Here is a 14,729-nt window from a genome sequence, read left to right as displayed (position 1 = left end):
CCCTCCCAGGTTCAAGTGATCCTCCTGCCTCAGCCTCCCAAGTAGCTGGGACTACAGGCACCCACCACCACGCCTGGCTAATTTTGTATTTTTCGTAGAGACTGGGTTTCACCATGTTGGCCAGGCTGGTCTTGAACTCCTGACCTCAGGGGATCCACCCACCTCAGCCTCCCAAAGTGCTGGGATTACAGGCGTGAGCCACCACACTCGGCCTGCTTTTCTTTATTTTCAGATTTTCAGCATGTTCGAAAATGTTCATCATACAAAGGTGGAAGAAACATGAAAATGAAAGAACTGGTTTGGAAGTCAGGAGATCTATGATTGTGTACCGCCTCTGCTACTCACTCACCATGGAAGCTTGAAAAAATTCCAAACACTGTGAGAATCAGTTTCCTTATACTAAAAAAAATGGGGGTTTGACTATGTATTTGTCAGGAGTCTTTTCGTTGAAAGTGACAGAAAGCCATCTCAAACTATCTGAGAGTGGCCAGGTGCGGTGGGCACGGTGGCTGACACCTGTAATCACAGCACTTTGAGAGGCCGGGATGAGAGGATCGCTTGAGGCCAAAAGTTTGAGATCAAAACTGTCTAAGAGAGAGAGAGATAAAGAGAGGAAGAGGGAGTGAGAGATTAGTGAACATAGCTGGGCGGGAAGGGGCTTCAAACAAGGCCATTTGAAATTTCTCCCCATCTCTGGCTCTGCTTCTCTTCATGTGTTGGCCTCAGTTTTTTTCAACTTTAGACGAACTTTCTCCATGCAAAAGAAAAAGGGAATGGCCACTCTCTCCTATTTAGTAACCCTACATGTAAAAGAGCATCTTCTCTCCAAAAATGATTGTTGAAAATTTCAGGGAAGAACTTGGATTGGACTGGCATAAGTCATGAGCCCAGACTTACATGGCCCAGGGCATGGTATGTTATTAGCAAGGCCCGGATCACATGCTCATACCTGGGCTGGGCTGCAATGTCACCGTGACTGGCAGACCCAGCAAAGCCACATAAAATGGAGATGCAGATAAGTTACCATGGTCCAAGTGACTGTTGTTATTGGGAACAAAAGGGAAGAGCTGCTGGAGAGAGACAAGGAAACAGATGCCTTATGGCCTAGGCTCTCTAAGGAATCTATTGTTAATGTTTTACAAGTGCCAGTAAGACTGCTGTGTACATAACAGATGCTCAGAAAATATGTTAAATGAAAGAATGTATAGAAGCCATAAAATGACAAATTATTTAAAATGTTAATAATGAGAAAGTTCTTTAGTGATCAGTTAAGTCTAATGCCTTCGTTTTACTGAAAAAGGAAAATGAAGCCCAAAGAGGCTAAGTGATACTCCTAAGGACATGTGATTACTTCTACAAGTCAGGCATCCCGATCTCCCATACCACGTCTGCATTTCTCTTTAAAGCAATCTCATATCAGGCCAGGAGCGGTGGCTCACACCTGTAATCCTAGCACTTTTGGAGGCAGACAGATCACTTGAGGTCAGGAATTCAAGACCAGCCTGGCCAACATGGTGAAATCCTGTTTCTACCGAAAATACAAAAATCAGCTAGTCATGGTGGCATGTGCCTGTAATCCCAGCTACTATGGAGGCTGAGGCAAGATGATTGCTTGAACCTGAGAGGCAGAGGTTGCAGTGAGCTGAGATCGTGCCACTGCACTCCAGCCTGGGCGACAGAGTGAGACTCCATCAAAAAATAAAAAAAGATTCTCATTTCAAACAGATTTCCTTTGCCCCTGACTTTCAATAGATTAACCATCAGCTAATATCAACCCTGTTAGCAAAAAGAAAATAGAAGCTTTACAAAAAAAAGGGAAAAAAAAATCCTACCTTTGTTTAATTGTTATTCTAATGAGTTAAACCTTGGATTCAGCACAGGCAGGCTCTCCTAATAGAAAAGAAGACAGATAGGTTGGCTGCCCCCACAACCAGGCTTGCGGATAAAATGTGTTTATACAGCTCGATTGGTCCAGAAGGAGCCAGGGCTGAAAACATTCAGTGAGCTGGCTGATGGCAGGCGACAGCTGGGAGCATCTGTTTCCCATTAGAGACACTGGGCTACAATAGTGCTGTCCTCTGACCTCTGGGTCCGGCTTCCCTGGGGGCCTGGGTGTGTTCCCAGGTCTCAAAGTGCTGACAGCCAATTCACTTGCTAACACATCCTAACTGGGTGCTAATACACCCATAGCTTAGATGGCTCTAGTACAAGATTTAGAGGTAAAGCTCGGAACTCAAATTGGGTGAGTGAAGTTTTTTATGTTCAGCTCCAAAAGCACACTTAAATTTTGTAGTAAAAACTGTCAGAAAGAAGAGCTTATTCATTTCCCTCTCCACTTTCCTTTCTTCTTTCCTTCCTTCCTCCCTCCCTCCCTTTTAACTAAGCAAGAATATTGAAGAGAGTGCTACTCAATTTCTGTAGAAAGGTAAAATATTGGGAGGCCAAGGAGGGCGGATCAGCTGAGGTCAGGAGTTTGAGACCAGCCTGGCCAACATGGCGAAACCCCAGCTCTACTAAAATTACAAATATTATCTGGGCATGGTGGTGCACGCTGATAGTCCCGGCTACTTGGGAGGCTGAGGGAGGAGGATCACTAGAACCTGGGAGGCGGAGGTTGCAGTGAGCTGAGATTGTGCTACTGCACTCCAGCCTAGGCAACAGAGCAAGACTCTGTCTCAAAAAAGAGGAAGAGCAAAATAATGCTGCTCCTACATAATGCTGTTCTCTACAGCAGTTAATTACATCAGCCAACATCTTGAAAAAACATCTTGAGTTATGTCTGCAAAATGAGCTTCATATAAATCAATATTAGACGTTGCCAGTAACCAAAAGATATGACTGGATAAAGGAGCCTGTCTAAATCTGGGTTCCCGTGAATACAAACCCCTAGACAGGAGTGTAGGTGCAGGGAGTTTTTTGGCAGGTGATTGCAGACAGCAAAGTGAGAGGCTATGAAGCGTAAGGCAGAAAGGAAGGAAAAGCCAATGTCAGGACACTTCATCCTTTGCTGCAAGACTCAGTATCCCAAGAACTCCGAGAAGTTTACAGTTTGCCTCTCAGAATTGGCCTGAAGGGCTTAAGGCTGGAGCATTTAAATCCCCTTTGGTTGAGGGTGAACACCCCCCTTGGTGGGTGCTCACTTCCATGTGTCCCCAAGTTATGCTTGGGCATTGGAGCTGGCTCTGGGACAGAAAGCAGAAGGACAGGGAAGCTGATGGTGCAGGCTGGAGCTGCTTGCCAGGGCTGAGACTAGAGGTAGCCAAGTAGCTGCAATCTGGGCACCAGCAGCATCTGCTAACAAAGTGTGAGCAGCCAGAATAAACTCAGATAAACTACAGACTAATTGGTGACTGGAACATGGGATTTCATTCAAAAGGAAAGGAGAGTGAATCAATGCTGTAAACTTCGTTGTTGTCTTATTTATTTATTTATTTTTTTTGAGACGGAGTTTCGCTCTTGATGTCCAGGCTGGAGTGCAATGGCGTGATCTTGGCTCACTGCACCCTCCGCCTCCTGGGTTCGAGTGATTCTCCTGCCTCAGCCTCCCAAGTAGCTGGGATTACAGGCACCAACCACCAGGCCCAGCTAATTTTTGTATTTTTAGCAGAGATGGGGTTTCACCAGGTTGGCCAGGCTGGTCTCGAACTCCTGACCTCAGGTGATCCACCCACATCAGCCTCCCAAACTGCTGGGATTACAGGCGTGAGCCACTGCACCTGCCCCATTGTTGTCTTATTTTAACAGATTTTAAAAATTTTCCATAATGGGCCGGGTGCAGTGGCTCATGCCTGTAATTCCAGCACTTTGGGAGGCCGAGGTGGGCAGATCACCTGAGGTCAGGAGTTCGAGACCAGAATGGCTAACATGGCAAAACCCCATCTCTACTAAAAATACAAAAATTAGCCAGGTGTGGTGGCACATGCCTGTAATCCCAGCTACTCAGGTGGCTGAGGCAGAATTGCTTGAACCCGGGAGACGAAGGTTGCGGTGAGCCGAGATCATGCCACTGCACTCCAACCTGAGAGACAGAGTGAGACTCTGTCTCAAAAAAAAAATTCATAATAAAATGTTTTTCAAAAGTTAGTTTAGGGCCGAGTGTGGTGGCTCATGCCTGTAATTTCAGCAGTGTGGGAGGCCAAGGTGGCAGTATCACTGGAGCCCAGGAGTTTAAGACCACCCTGGGCAATATAGTGAGACCCCCATCTCTAAAAATAAAATACATTAAAAAAAAAGTTAGTTTAGTATACAAATTACATCCCTTCAGTGTTATCCTCACACTTAAGAGAAACATTGAAATAGAAGCTAAATACATTTTTTCCCCAAGTACTATCAGGTACACTCTTCTTCACCAAGATCATAAAGGATGGAGAAATGTTGTTAGTTCTAAACTATATAAAATAACAATGATTAATAATTCCAAACAAATAATATATTTTTAAGTTTGGTGAAACTTTATTGAATTCACAGACATAGATAACATAGCATAGAGGCAGTTTTTCTTTTCTTTTCTTTTTTTTTTTTTGACACAGTCTTCTTGCTCTGTCACCCAGGCTGGAATGCAGTGGTGCGATCTCGGCTCACTGCAACCTCCACCTCCCGGGTTGAAGTGATTCTTCTGCCTCAGCCTCCCGAGTAGCTAGGACTACAGGTGCGTGCCACCGTGCCCAACTAATTTTTTGTATGTTTAATAGAGACAGGGTTAGCCTCTATTTTTAATAGAGGCATCCATGTTAGCCAGGGTGGTCTCGATCTCCTGACCTCGTGACCCACCTGCCTTGGCTTCCCAAAGTGCTGGGATTACAGGCGTGAGCCACCAGGCCCGGCCCAGATTTTTTTTTTAAAGGATATGTATGGAGTTGGAGAAACCCTTGCTGGTCCTCTTATCTTAGGTAAAGTTATACCCAAAGCATCCTGGACAATGAGCATCCGTTGTTCTGCAGCCTGGCATCCATGTTTCTTACCTTGGGAATAGTTTATTGATTTCCTTCTCCCATTTTATGCAGTTTTAGAGGGAGTATGAGTTCAAGGATCTTGTCCTCTCTTGGATAAGGTGGAAACACTGATTCAATTATGTGACAAAATTTTTTTAGCTTGGAATTTGAGCAGGAAGACAAAAGTATGAGAAACACATAAAGTTGATTTATCCTGTGGCTGCACCTCGAAAACATGTCCATTAGTGCTTGCTAGCTAGAACTTCTCTAGTTCCTATCTTTTCTGAGAGTCTTCTTTTTGATTTTGTGAGCTACTCCCATCCTTTTAATAAATTCAATTTTTTTCTTGCTTTAGTAACCAAAAGGGATGTTGGGGGCATGCCACCACTGAACCCTTACTGAGTGTGGCAATTTGTCTCCCAGAATGCCACCATCAATTCCTTCCCTCCCTATAGGCACGTGCTACTCTGCCCATCAAAAGGTGGTCTTGGCCGGGCGTGGTGGCTCACGCCTGTAATCCCAGAACTTTGGGAGGCCAAGGCAGGAGGATCATTTGAGGTCAGGAGTTTGAGACCAGCCTGGCCAAGATGGTGAAACCCCATCTCTACTAAAATACAAAAATTAGCTGGGCGTGGTGGTGTGCTCCTGTAATCCCAGCTACTCGGGAGGCTGAGGCAGGAGAATCGCTTGAACCGAGGAGGTGGGGGTTGCAGTGAGCCAATATCGCACTGCACTCCAGCCTGGGCAACAGGGCGAGACTCCATCTCAAAATAATAATAATAATAATAATGATAATAATAAGAGCCATCTATGACAAACCCATAGCCAACATCATACTGAATGGATAAAAGCTAGAAGCATTCCCCTTGAGAACCAGAACAAGACAAAGATGCCCACTCTCACTACTGCTATTCAACATAGTATTATACTAGAAGTCCTAGCCAGAACAACAAGGCAAGAGAAAGAAATAAAGGACATCCAAATAGAAAGAGAGGAAGTCACACTATCTCTCTTTGCGGATGATATGATTCTGTACTTAGAAAGCCACATAGTCTTGACCCAAGAGCTTCTAGATATGACATGATAAAACACTTCAGCAAAGTTTTTGTTGCTGTTGTTTTGTTTTCTTTTTTTTTTTTTTAGAGAGAGTTTTGTTCTTGTCCAGGCTGGAGTGCAATGGTGCGATCTTGGCTCACTGCAACCTCCACCTCCCTGGTTCAAGCAATTCTCCTGCCTCAGCCTTCCAAGTAGCTGGGATTACAGGCATGCACCACCATGCCTGACTAATTTTGTATTTTTTTTAGTAGAGATGGGGCTTCACCATTTTGGTCAGGCTGGTCTTGAACTCCTGACCTCAAGTGATCCACCCGCCTTGGCCTCCCAAAGTGCTGGGATTACAGGTGTGAACCATGGCCAGCAAAGTTTAAGGATATAAAATCAACATACAAAAATTAGTAGTATTTCTACATATCAATAATGTCCAAGCTGAGAGTCAAATGCAGAATGCAATCCCATTTACAATAGCCACAAAAGAATGAAATACCTAGGAATACACTTAACTAGGGAGGTGAAAGACCTCTACAGTGAGAATTACAAAACACAGCTGAAAGAAATCAGAGACAACACAAACAAAACATTCCATGCTTATGGATAGGAAGGATCAATATTGTTAAAATGGCCATACTGCCCAAGGCAATTTATAGATTTAATGCTAATGCTACTTCTATCAAACTACCATTACATTTTTCATGGAATTAGAAAAAAACCACTCTAAAATTCATATGGGACTCCAAAATAACCCAAATAGTGGAAGCAATCCTAAGCAAAAAGAACAAAGCTGAAGGCATGACACTACCTGACTTGAAAGTATACTACAAGCCTACAGTAATCAAAACAGCATGGTACTGGTACAAAACAGACACATAGACCAATGAAACAGAATAGAGAGTCCAGAAATAATGCCTCACACCTGCAACTATCTGAACTTCAACAAAGCTGTCAAAAACAAGCAATGAAGAAATGACTCACTATTCAATAAATGGTGCTGGGATAACTGTTTAGCCATATGCAGAAGATTGAAACTGGACCCCTTCATTTTACCATATACAAAAATCAACTCAAGATGGATTAAAGACTTAAATGTAAAACCCAAAATTATAAAAACCCTAGAGAAAAACCTAGAAAATATGATTTTGGACATAGGCTTTGGCAAAGATTTTATGATGAAGACTTCAAAAGCAATTGCAAAGAAAACAAAAATAGACAAGTGGGACCTAATTAAGCTAAAGAGCCTCTGCACAGCAAAATAAACTATCAACAGAGTAAACTGACAACCTACAGAATGGGAGAAAATATTTGCAAACTATGCATCTGACGTAGGTCTAATCCAGAATCTGTAAGGAAATTAAACAAATTAACAAGCCAAAACAAAAAAATTCCATTAAAAACTGGGTAAAGGACATGAGCAAACACTTCTCAAAAGAAGACAAATGTATCCAACAAGCTTATGAAAAAATGCTCAACATCATTAATCATTAGAGGAATGCAAATCAAAACCGCAATGAGACATCACGTCATACCAGTCAGAATGGCTATTACTAAAAAGTCAAAAGACAATCGATGCTGACGAGGTTGTGGGGAAAAGGGAATGCCTATACCCTGCTGGTGGGAATGTAAATTAGTTCAGCCACTGTGGAAGGCAGTCTGGAGATTTCTCAAAGAACTTAAAACAGAAATACCATTTAACCCAGCAATCCCATTACTGGTATATGCCTAAAGGAATATAAATTGTTCTACCATAAAGACACACATGCATATGTTCATTGCAGCACTATTCACAATGGCAAAGACATGCAGTCAACCTAGATGCCCATCAACGATGGACTGGATAAAGAAAATGTGGTACTGATACACTATGGAATACTAAGCAGCCATAAAAGAGAATGAGATCATGTCCTTTACAGCAACATGGATGAAGCTGGAGGCCATTATCCTAAGCAAACTAACGCAGGAGGAGAAAACCAAATATCACATTTTGTCATTTGTAAGTGGGAGCTAATCACTGAGTACACATGGACACAATGCAGGGAACAATAGACACCCGGACCTACTTGAAGGTACATAGTGGGAGGAGGGTGAGGATCAAAAAACTACCTATCAGGTACTATGCTTATTACCTGGGTGACAAAATAATCTGTACACCAAACTCCTGCAGCACACAATTTACCCATGTAACAAACCTGTACATGTACCTCTGAACCTAAAAGTTGGAAAGAAAACACAATGTAATGGATAAATTATCTCAGTGAAATACCACATGGCAAGGAGAATAAACATCCAACGTGGACTAATCTCAACGTGTGACATTAATACACATAAAAGAGTTTTCATACTGTAAAATTCCATTCATATAATGTTTAAATATAGAGAAAATGGATGTGTGATGTTAGATGTCAGGATTACCCTGGGGCGAGGTCATGATTTTTTTCACTTGATCTGAGGAATGGTTACACACTGTGTTTACTATATGAAGAATCATCAAGCTGTACTTTTCTGTATTTATGTTTAACATCAATAAAATGTTTTTTTTTCTTTTTAAATCTCTGTTCTAGCTGGGTGCAGTTGCTCACATCTGTAGTCCCAGCTACTTGGGAGACTTAGGCAGGAGGATGGCTTGATCCCAGGAGTTTGAGGCTGCAGTGAGCCATGGTAGCATCGCTACACTCCAGCCTGGGTGCTACAACAAGACACTGTCTCAAAAAAATAAAAAATAAAAAATAAATAAAGATAGCCCCATCTTTATGGAACTGACTTTACAGGAGAGATGATTAATAAACTAAAAGAATGGGGAAAATTGTAGAGGATTAGTTGGGGTGTGTGCTACTGATAGAGATAAAACAGGAAGGAGAACAGGCAGGGTAGTGTGATTGCAATTTAAAATAAGGTGGTTAGGAAAAAGTGATTGAGAAGCTGACACTGGTTCTGGTTCAGCAAATTGTATTTCATGTTTATAACAAGCTTATGAGAATGGGGGGACACTCTTTACATGTTACAATAAAAAAGCTAAGAGATTGCAGAGAAAGGTGTTAAATCACAAACTGGTCAGACAGTTTGTTGTGCAGGAAGAATATTTATATTGCCCTATGAATGGGGGATGACAACATAGCTGGCCAGATAATTGACAGACAACAAGGATGAAACCAGAGATGGCAGGTGGGCCACCTTTCATCTTACCAGTCTTCGTCAGGGCTCCGAAGACAATGTGTTGTCATCAGGGCTTGACATGGGAGTCAAGTAATCTCTGGATTATTTGTCTTGCTCAAAATTTTATATATTAAAGAAGATAAAAGGAATTTGTTGGAAGGATAGGGAGTACCTAAGATAATTGAAAGAAAAACTAAGGAAGCAGGTTTTGGAAAAATACAAGCTCTGGAGCAGTAACAGGGAACTCTGTAACCTTGGTTGAATAAACAACTGCTTTTACTCTTTGCATTATTGCTGTCAATTTTCAAATTCCAGGCAAGAAGCAGCTTTAGCTTAGCATGGGTCAGTTGATCATCCCACGGAGCATCCTGATGGACAGTCCCACTTACGCTGGGTGCAAGTGGTGAAGGGCAGTCCCTGGAAGTGAAGTGGGGTGCTGTTAGGAGAAATAAGAAGGAATTCATGCTGGGCAGGCGAAACAACTGTTGTCTACCATAGGACTGCTTGAAGGGTTGTCGCAGTCCATCTATAATTGAAACTTTCTTTTTTCCACGTGGTAGGCAAAATTCTAAGATGACCTGCAAGATTTCTACCCCTGGTGCACAGACCCTGTATGATCCTCTCCCCTGGAGTGTGGATGGAAGCTGAGAATATGATGGCCATCCCTCCTGAAACTTGACGACGAATCATTGACTCTGTGTTCATCAAAGGAGAGATTATCCTGGGGGACCTGACCTAATCAGTTGAGTCCTTTCAAGGTGGAAAAGTCAGAGAGGACTGCTCCTCCTGACCTTGAAGAAGACAAAAGTGGCCAGCTCTACAGCTGCAAGGATTTGAATTCTGCCAATCACCTGAATGAGCTTGGAGAATCGCTCTGGGCATCCGATGAGATGGCAGCTCTGACTGACACCTTGATTTCAGCCTTCTGAGATCTGAGCAGAGACCTGGACACCTGATCCACAGAAACGGAAATATTACATTTGTGTTGTCTTAAGCAGGTGAATTGGTGTTAACTTGCGGCACAACAATTGAAAACTATCACTATTGTTCTGCTACATTTCTGACACATGTGTTAAAGCAATAGTTTTCCAGGAATACAAAACAAAGGGAGACCCCCAGGGAACCAGGACAGAGGGGGCTTACTTAGAGTACAAAGATCAAGATGCAGCAGACATGATTATTTGAGATAAAGGAAGTAATTCCTCAGCTTGCTGCTTTTCCGGGTTTGGGAGAGGTGGGAACAGGAAGAGGGAGGCAACCAGATTTTTTCTGAAGGAGATTTACTAGTATAGACTTTCCTTTCAAATTTAACATGTTGAGTTAATCAAATAGATATTACAACTGTTCGTTATTAATATTTCAAAGGATCTCATTGTTACTGTACCCAATGCAGGTTAAAAATGTTAAAACTTGGGTCTGGGCTGGGCATGGTGGTTCATGCCTGTAATCCCAGCACTTTGGGAGGCCGAGATGGGTGGATCACCTAAGGTCAGGAGCTCGAGACCAGCCTGGCCAGCATGACAAAACCCCATCTTTACTAAAAAGACAAAAATTAGCCGGGCGTGGTCACGGGCACCTGTAATCCCAGCCACTGGGGAGGCTGAGGCAGGAGAATCACTTGAACCGGGGAGGCAGAGGTTGCAGTGAGCTGAGATCGCACCACTGCATTCTAGCCTGGGCAACAGAGTGAGACTCTGCCTCAATAATAATAATAAAAAAAAGGGTCCGAAGAATTTTGTTACTTTTACTTGAGCAGTATTCACCTACCAGAGGATGGCCTGTGTGGCATCTGGGTGTGATACCCAAGACAAAAGTATACAGAGCAGCACTGGGAGATGATTATTACAATGTAGTTAAATTCCAGGAAGAATGTTGCCTAAGAAATGGAAGGGAGCATGTCTATGTCTTTTTAAAACTTTAACATCTTTCTTTTATTCCTGCTGGTTCCAGTTAATATTGCTGTGTAAAAATCCACTTTAAAGGTGCAAAAGAACAACTATTTTATTATGCTGATGGATTCTGCGGGTGAGGAATTCAGAAAGGTCACAATGGGGATGGTTTATGTCTGCTTCCTAATGCCTGGGCCAAACTTTCTGGCACTATATAACAAGGGCCCCATTTTCTCCAGCTTCCAATAACATCTTCCTTAGCTCCCTTTAAGCCCTCATTGGCAGCTTCCTCAAGTCCTTTTAGACTCTTGTTAATACTTTGGATCCCTTCCTGCTCTTGCTGCTTCACCTAGTTCCAAAGCCAGTGCCACACGTTTTACTTTTATGATGTTATTATGTTATGTTTTGTTATAATATCCATCCTACTTCTAGGTAACAAAATCGGTTTCAGTTACTATTGCTATGTAATAAACTGTTATTCTTACTATGTAATAAACTTCTTCCCCTTGCCCCTCCCTAAGAAGTCAGTGGTAGAAGAGAAAGAAAAAAAGCCCCAAGTTACATAATAAAACCACATAGGTTATATTTATAATAATGGTATCAGTGGTTCTCGAACTTTTTGGTTTCAGCATACCTTTATACTCCCCAAAATAGTAGAGAACACTCCAAAGCTTTTGTTTCTGTGGGTTACATCTATTAATATTTACTATATTAAAAATTGAATACAAAGCTGAAATGTGGCTGGGTGCGGTGGCTCACGCCAGTAATCCCAGAACTTTGGGAGGCCAAGGCAGTAGGATCACCTGAGGTCAGGAGTTCGAGACCAGCATGGCAAACATGGTGAAAACCCGTCTCTACTAAAAATACAAAAAATTAGTCGGGTGTGTATCGAGCGCCTGTAATCCCAGCTACTCAGGAGTCTGAGGCAGGAGAATCGCTTGAGCCCGGGAGGCAGAGGTTGCAGTGAGCCGAGATCGTGCCATTGCACTCCAGCCTGGTTGACAGAGTGAAACTCCATCTCCAAAAAAAAAAGAAAAAAACCAACAAAAAACTGAAATGTTAAAAAGTTATTTAAAATAACAATAATAAACCATTATGTGTTAATATAATTAAGACATTTTAATGAAGAATAAATATTTTCCAAAAACAAAAAAATGTGGTAAGAAAAGTGTTATCTTTTGCATTAGTGTAAATTCCTCTATAGCTGGCTTAAAGAAGCCAGTTAGATTCTCATTTCTGCCTTTACATTCAGTTCGACGTGATGTTTTGGTGGAAGTATAAGGAAAATCCATCAGTCATGGGTCATCAAAACCCATGACTGGGTTTCGGTCTTACATCCTAGCCGATAAAAGACCGCCTACACTCCTTCCCCCTGGGCAAGGCTCGTGCCCCAACTCCTACAAGCAATGCAGGCTGAACCTTAGTTTTCCCTACCGTCTAACAGTGCTCTAAGGATTGAAAGAAAGTAACTCTTAAGCGACACCTAGATAAAATGATGGTCAGTTTAATTTCATTTCTCATCACAGTATTAGTCAATCAACCACTCAGATATAATCACATCCTGCGGGCTTATTCAGGGGCGGGGTGGGTAGAGATAAGCAATAGCGCATGCGCAGCTCAGAACGAAGCCCCAGGTGGAGTTAGCGCTGCACCTCTGAGGCCAGGTGAGCCGCTCCGAAGCGGAGGGCGGAGTCAGAGCCGCTTGTGGGAGGCTGCTTCCGACCACGTGGTACCCCGAATGACCAATGGGGAGACTTGATGTCAGCCCCGCTTCCTCACCCTGGCAACGGGCGGGTGACTACTTCCGGTGCAGTGAAGGCTCGGGGCTGAAGCGGGTGAGTGTCCCTCTTTCCCACGCTGTCCGCGCCGCTGCCGCCTCCGCGCTGCTGCCTCTGTGTGTGGGCCCCGTACGCTAGCTGGGACGTCCTCTCCGGGTCCGAGAGGGGGCGGCGCGCAGGACACCCCTTGCCCCGGGCGGGGCTAGAGGAGGGGGCCAGGATGTCCCTAGTTCCCTAGTCTTGGTCGCTCTAGGCGGCCCCGTCGTCCCCCTTCCCAGCCTCATCTCCGGCTTGGCGTCCTCGTGGCCACCGGGGAAGTACTGTCTGTATGTGGGGAGTTCTCGCAGTTCTTCACCCACTTTGCAGTCTCAGGCTGGAGATGTCTCAGAGTCCGAGGTTCGCAGACAGCCGAGAATGTGCGCCTTGTCCTGGGTGGCGGGTTGGGGGTAAGGCAGCCCCTTACTTAGTAATAGAGGCCTGATGAGAGTCCTGCGGGTCGTTAGCACTTACTACTCAGGGGGAGGAGGAGGAGGAAGAAGAGGAGGAGGAAAGGACCGAGAAGATGGAGCAGCTGGAGAGGAGGGGGGGAAAGCAGGAGCTAGAGATGTCCTGGAAATCGAGGGTATCGTGTTTCCGGAAGGAGAGAGTTCAACTTTCCTGGCTTCTGTAGGGGAGGGGAAGGAAAGGTGTGTTAGGGGCCATTAGATTGCTGAATTATTATTATTCTTTATTAGCGAAGGAATTTTTACTTATATTCTTAGGAGTTTAATAATTTATCTTTTTTGTTGTAAATAAAACTTTTCCCCACCACTTACAAAAAGCAGTGCTTACTAAGGAACATCTGGAAAATGCAGAAATAGTTATGAAGAGATCACCTATAGTTCTGCCAACCCAGCATTTTGATCTTTTTTCTAATATTTTATTCATATTAACCTATTTGTGATCATAATGTATGCGTGTAAAATACGGTTATAACTAAGAGGCATAGTTACATACATTGTGTTCATTGCACGGATAGATTGTCTTTTTTCCTCTTGAGAAAGTCTTATTAAGGTATTCATGCACCATAAAATTTATTCTTTAAAATTGTAAATTTCAGTGCTTTTTCTCATATCGCAAAGTTGTGCACCCATCACCACTATCTACTTTCAGAACATTTTCATCACCCCCAAAAGAAATCCTATACTCATGACAGTCACTCCCCATTAGATTCTCTGCTTTCTCTCCCAGGCCTTGTAACCACTAATCTACTTTCTGTATCTATGGATTTTCCTATACTGGCATTTCATATAAATGGAATCATAGAATATATGGCCTCACTTGTCTGGTGTCTTTCAGTTAGTATGTTTTCAAGGTTCATCAATGTCTGTGTATCAGTATTTCATTCTGTTTTATGGATGGGTAATGTTCCATTGTGTGAATATGCCACATTTTGCTTAACCATCATCGGTCGATGGACATTTAGGTTGTTTCTACTTTTTGGCTATTTTGAATAATTCTGCTATAAACATCTGTGTACAAGTTTTTGTATGGACATACGTTTTCAGTTCTCTTGAGTATATACCTAGAAGTGGAATTGGTGGGCATATGGTAACTCTATGTTTAACTTTTTGAGTGAGTGCCAAATGTTTTCCAAACTGGTTGCACCATTTTACATTCCCACCAGCAGGTTATAAGGGTTCTGATTTTTTCATATCCTTGGGAGCACTTATCTTTCTTTTTGGTTATAGCAGTCTTAGTGCTTATAAAGTGGTAGCTCATTGTAGTGTTGATTTGCATTTCCCTGATGGCTAATAATGTTGAGCATCTTTTAATGTGCTTATTGACCCTTTGTATATCTTTGGAGAAATGTCCATTTAATTCCTTTGCCCATTTTTAAATTGAATTGTCTTATATTAAAGTTGTATGAGTTCTTTCTATATTCTAAA

General features: G+C 42.8%; 1 protein-coding gene across 20 annotated transcripts in view, besides 5 other annotated features; it reads left to right on the top strand.

Moving 5' to 3' along the window:
* Window positions 1,936-2,230: a silencer, noted in NCBI's record as "tiled region #128; HepG2 Repressive non-DNase unmatched - State 21:Repr". NCBI's record gives its function as "represses a minimal TATA promoter and a strong SV40 promoter by Sharpr-MPRA in HepG2 cells {active_cell/tissue: HepG2}" and the evidence as "EXISTENCE:reporter gene assay evidence [ECO:0000049][PMID:27701403]".
* TASP1 (taspase 1) overlaps window positions 12,820-14,729 on the top strand; it is a 534,161-nt gene continuing 532,251 nt past the window's right edge. For 16 of the 20 annotated variants that reach the window (XR_001754319.3, XR_007067463.1, NR_136629.2 and 13 more), the window contains exon 1: window positions 12,820-12,858. The gene's annotated coding sequence lies outside the window, so the exon portion shown is untranslated. Of the gene's footprint in view, window positions 13,488-14,729 lie in introns of all 20 variants that reach the window. The other 4 variants (XM_047440275.1, XM_047440268.1, XM_047440267.1 and 1 more) reach the window with 2 other exon arrangements.
* Window positions 12,920-13,069: a silencer, noted in NCBI's record as "silent region_12679". NCBI's record gives its function as "represses an Ori minimal core promoter by ATAC-STARR-seq in GM12878 lymphoblastoid cells {active_cell/tissue: GM12878}" and the evidence as "EXISTENCE:reporter gene assay evidence [ECO:0000049][PMID:35858748]".
* Window positions 12,920-13,463: a biological region, named in NCBI's record as "H3K27ac hESC enhancer GRCh37_chr20:13618936-13619436".
* Window positions 12,963-13,463: an enhancer, noted in NCBI's record as "H3K27ac hESC enhancer chr20:13618936-13619436 (GRCh37/hg19 assembly coordinates)". NCBI's record gives its function as "activates a minimal SCP1, AML or CMV promoter by ChIP-STARR-seq in primed H9 embryonic stem cells {active_cell/tissue: H9 hESC(primed)}" and the evidence as "EXISTENCE:reporter gene assay evidence [ECO:0000049][PMID:30033119]".
* Window positions 13,260-13,349: an enhancer, noted in NCBI's record as "active region_17551". NCBI's record gives its function as "activates an Ori minimal core promoter by ATAC-STARR-seq in GM12878 lymphoblastoid cells {active_cell/tissue: GM12878}" and the evidence as "EXISTENCE:reporter gene assay evidence [ECO:0000049][PMID:35858748]".

This window comes from Homo sapiens, chromosome 20 (assembly GCF_000001405.40).
Source record: "Homo sapiens chromosome 20, GRCh38.p14 Primary Assembly".
In the NCBI taxonomy this organism is placed as follows: domain Eukaryota; kingdom Metazoa; phylum Chordata; class Mammalia; order Primates; family Hominidae; genus Homo; species Homo sapiens.
The sequence above is the reverse complement of the archived record's forward strand: the minus strand, read 5'-3'. Positions and strand labels throughout refer to the sequence as shown.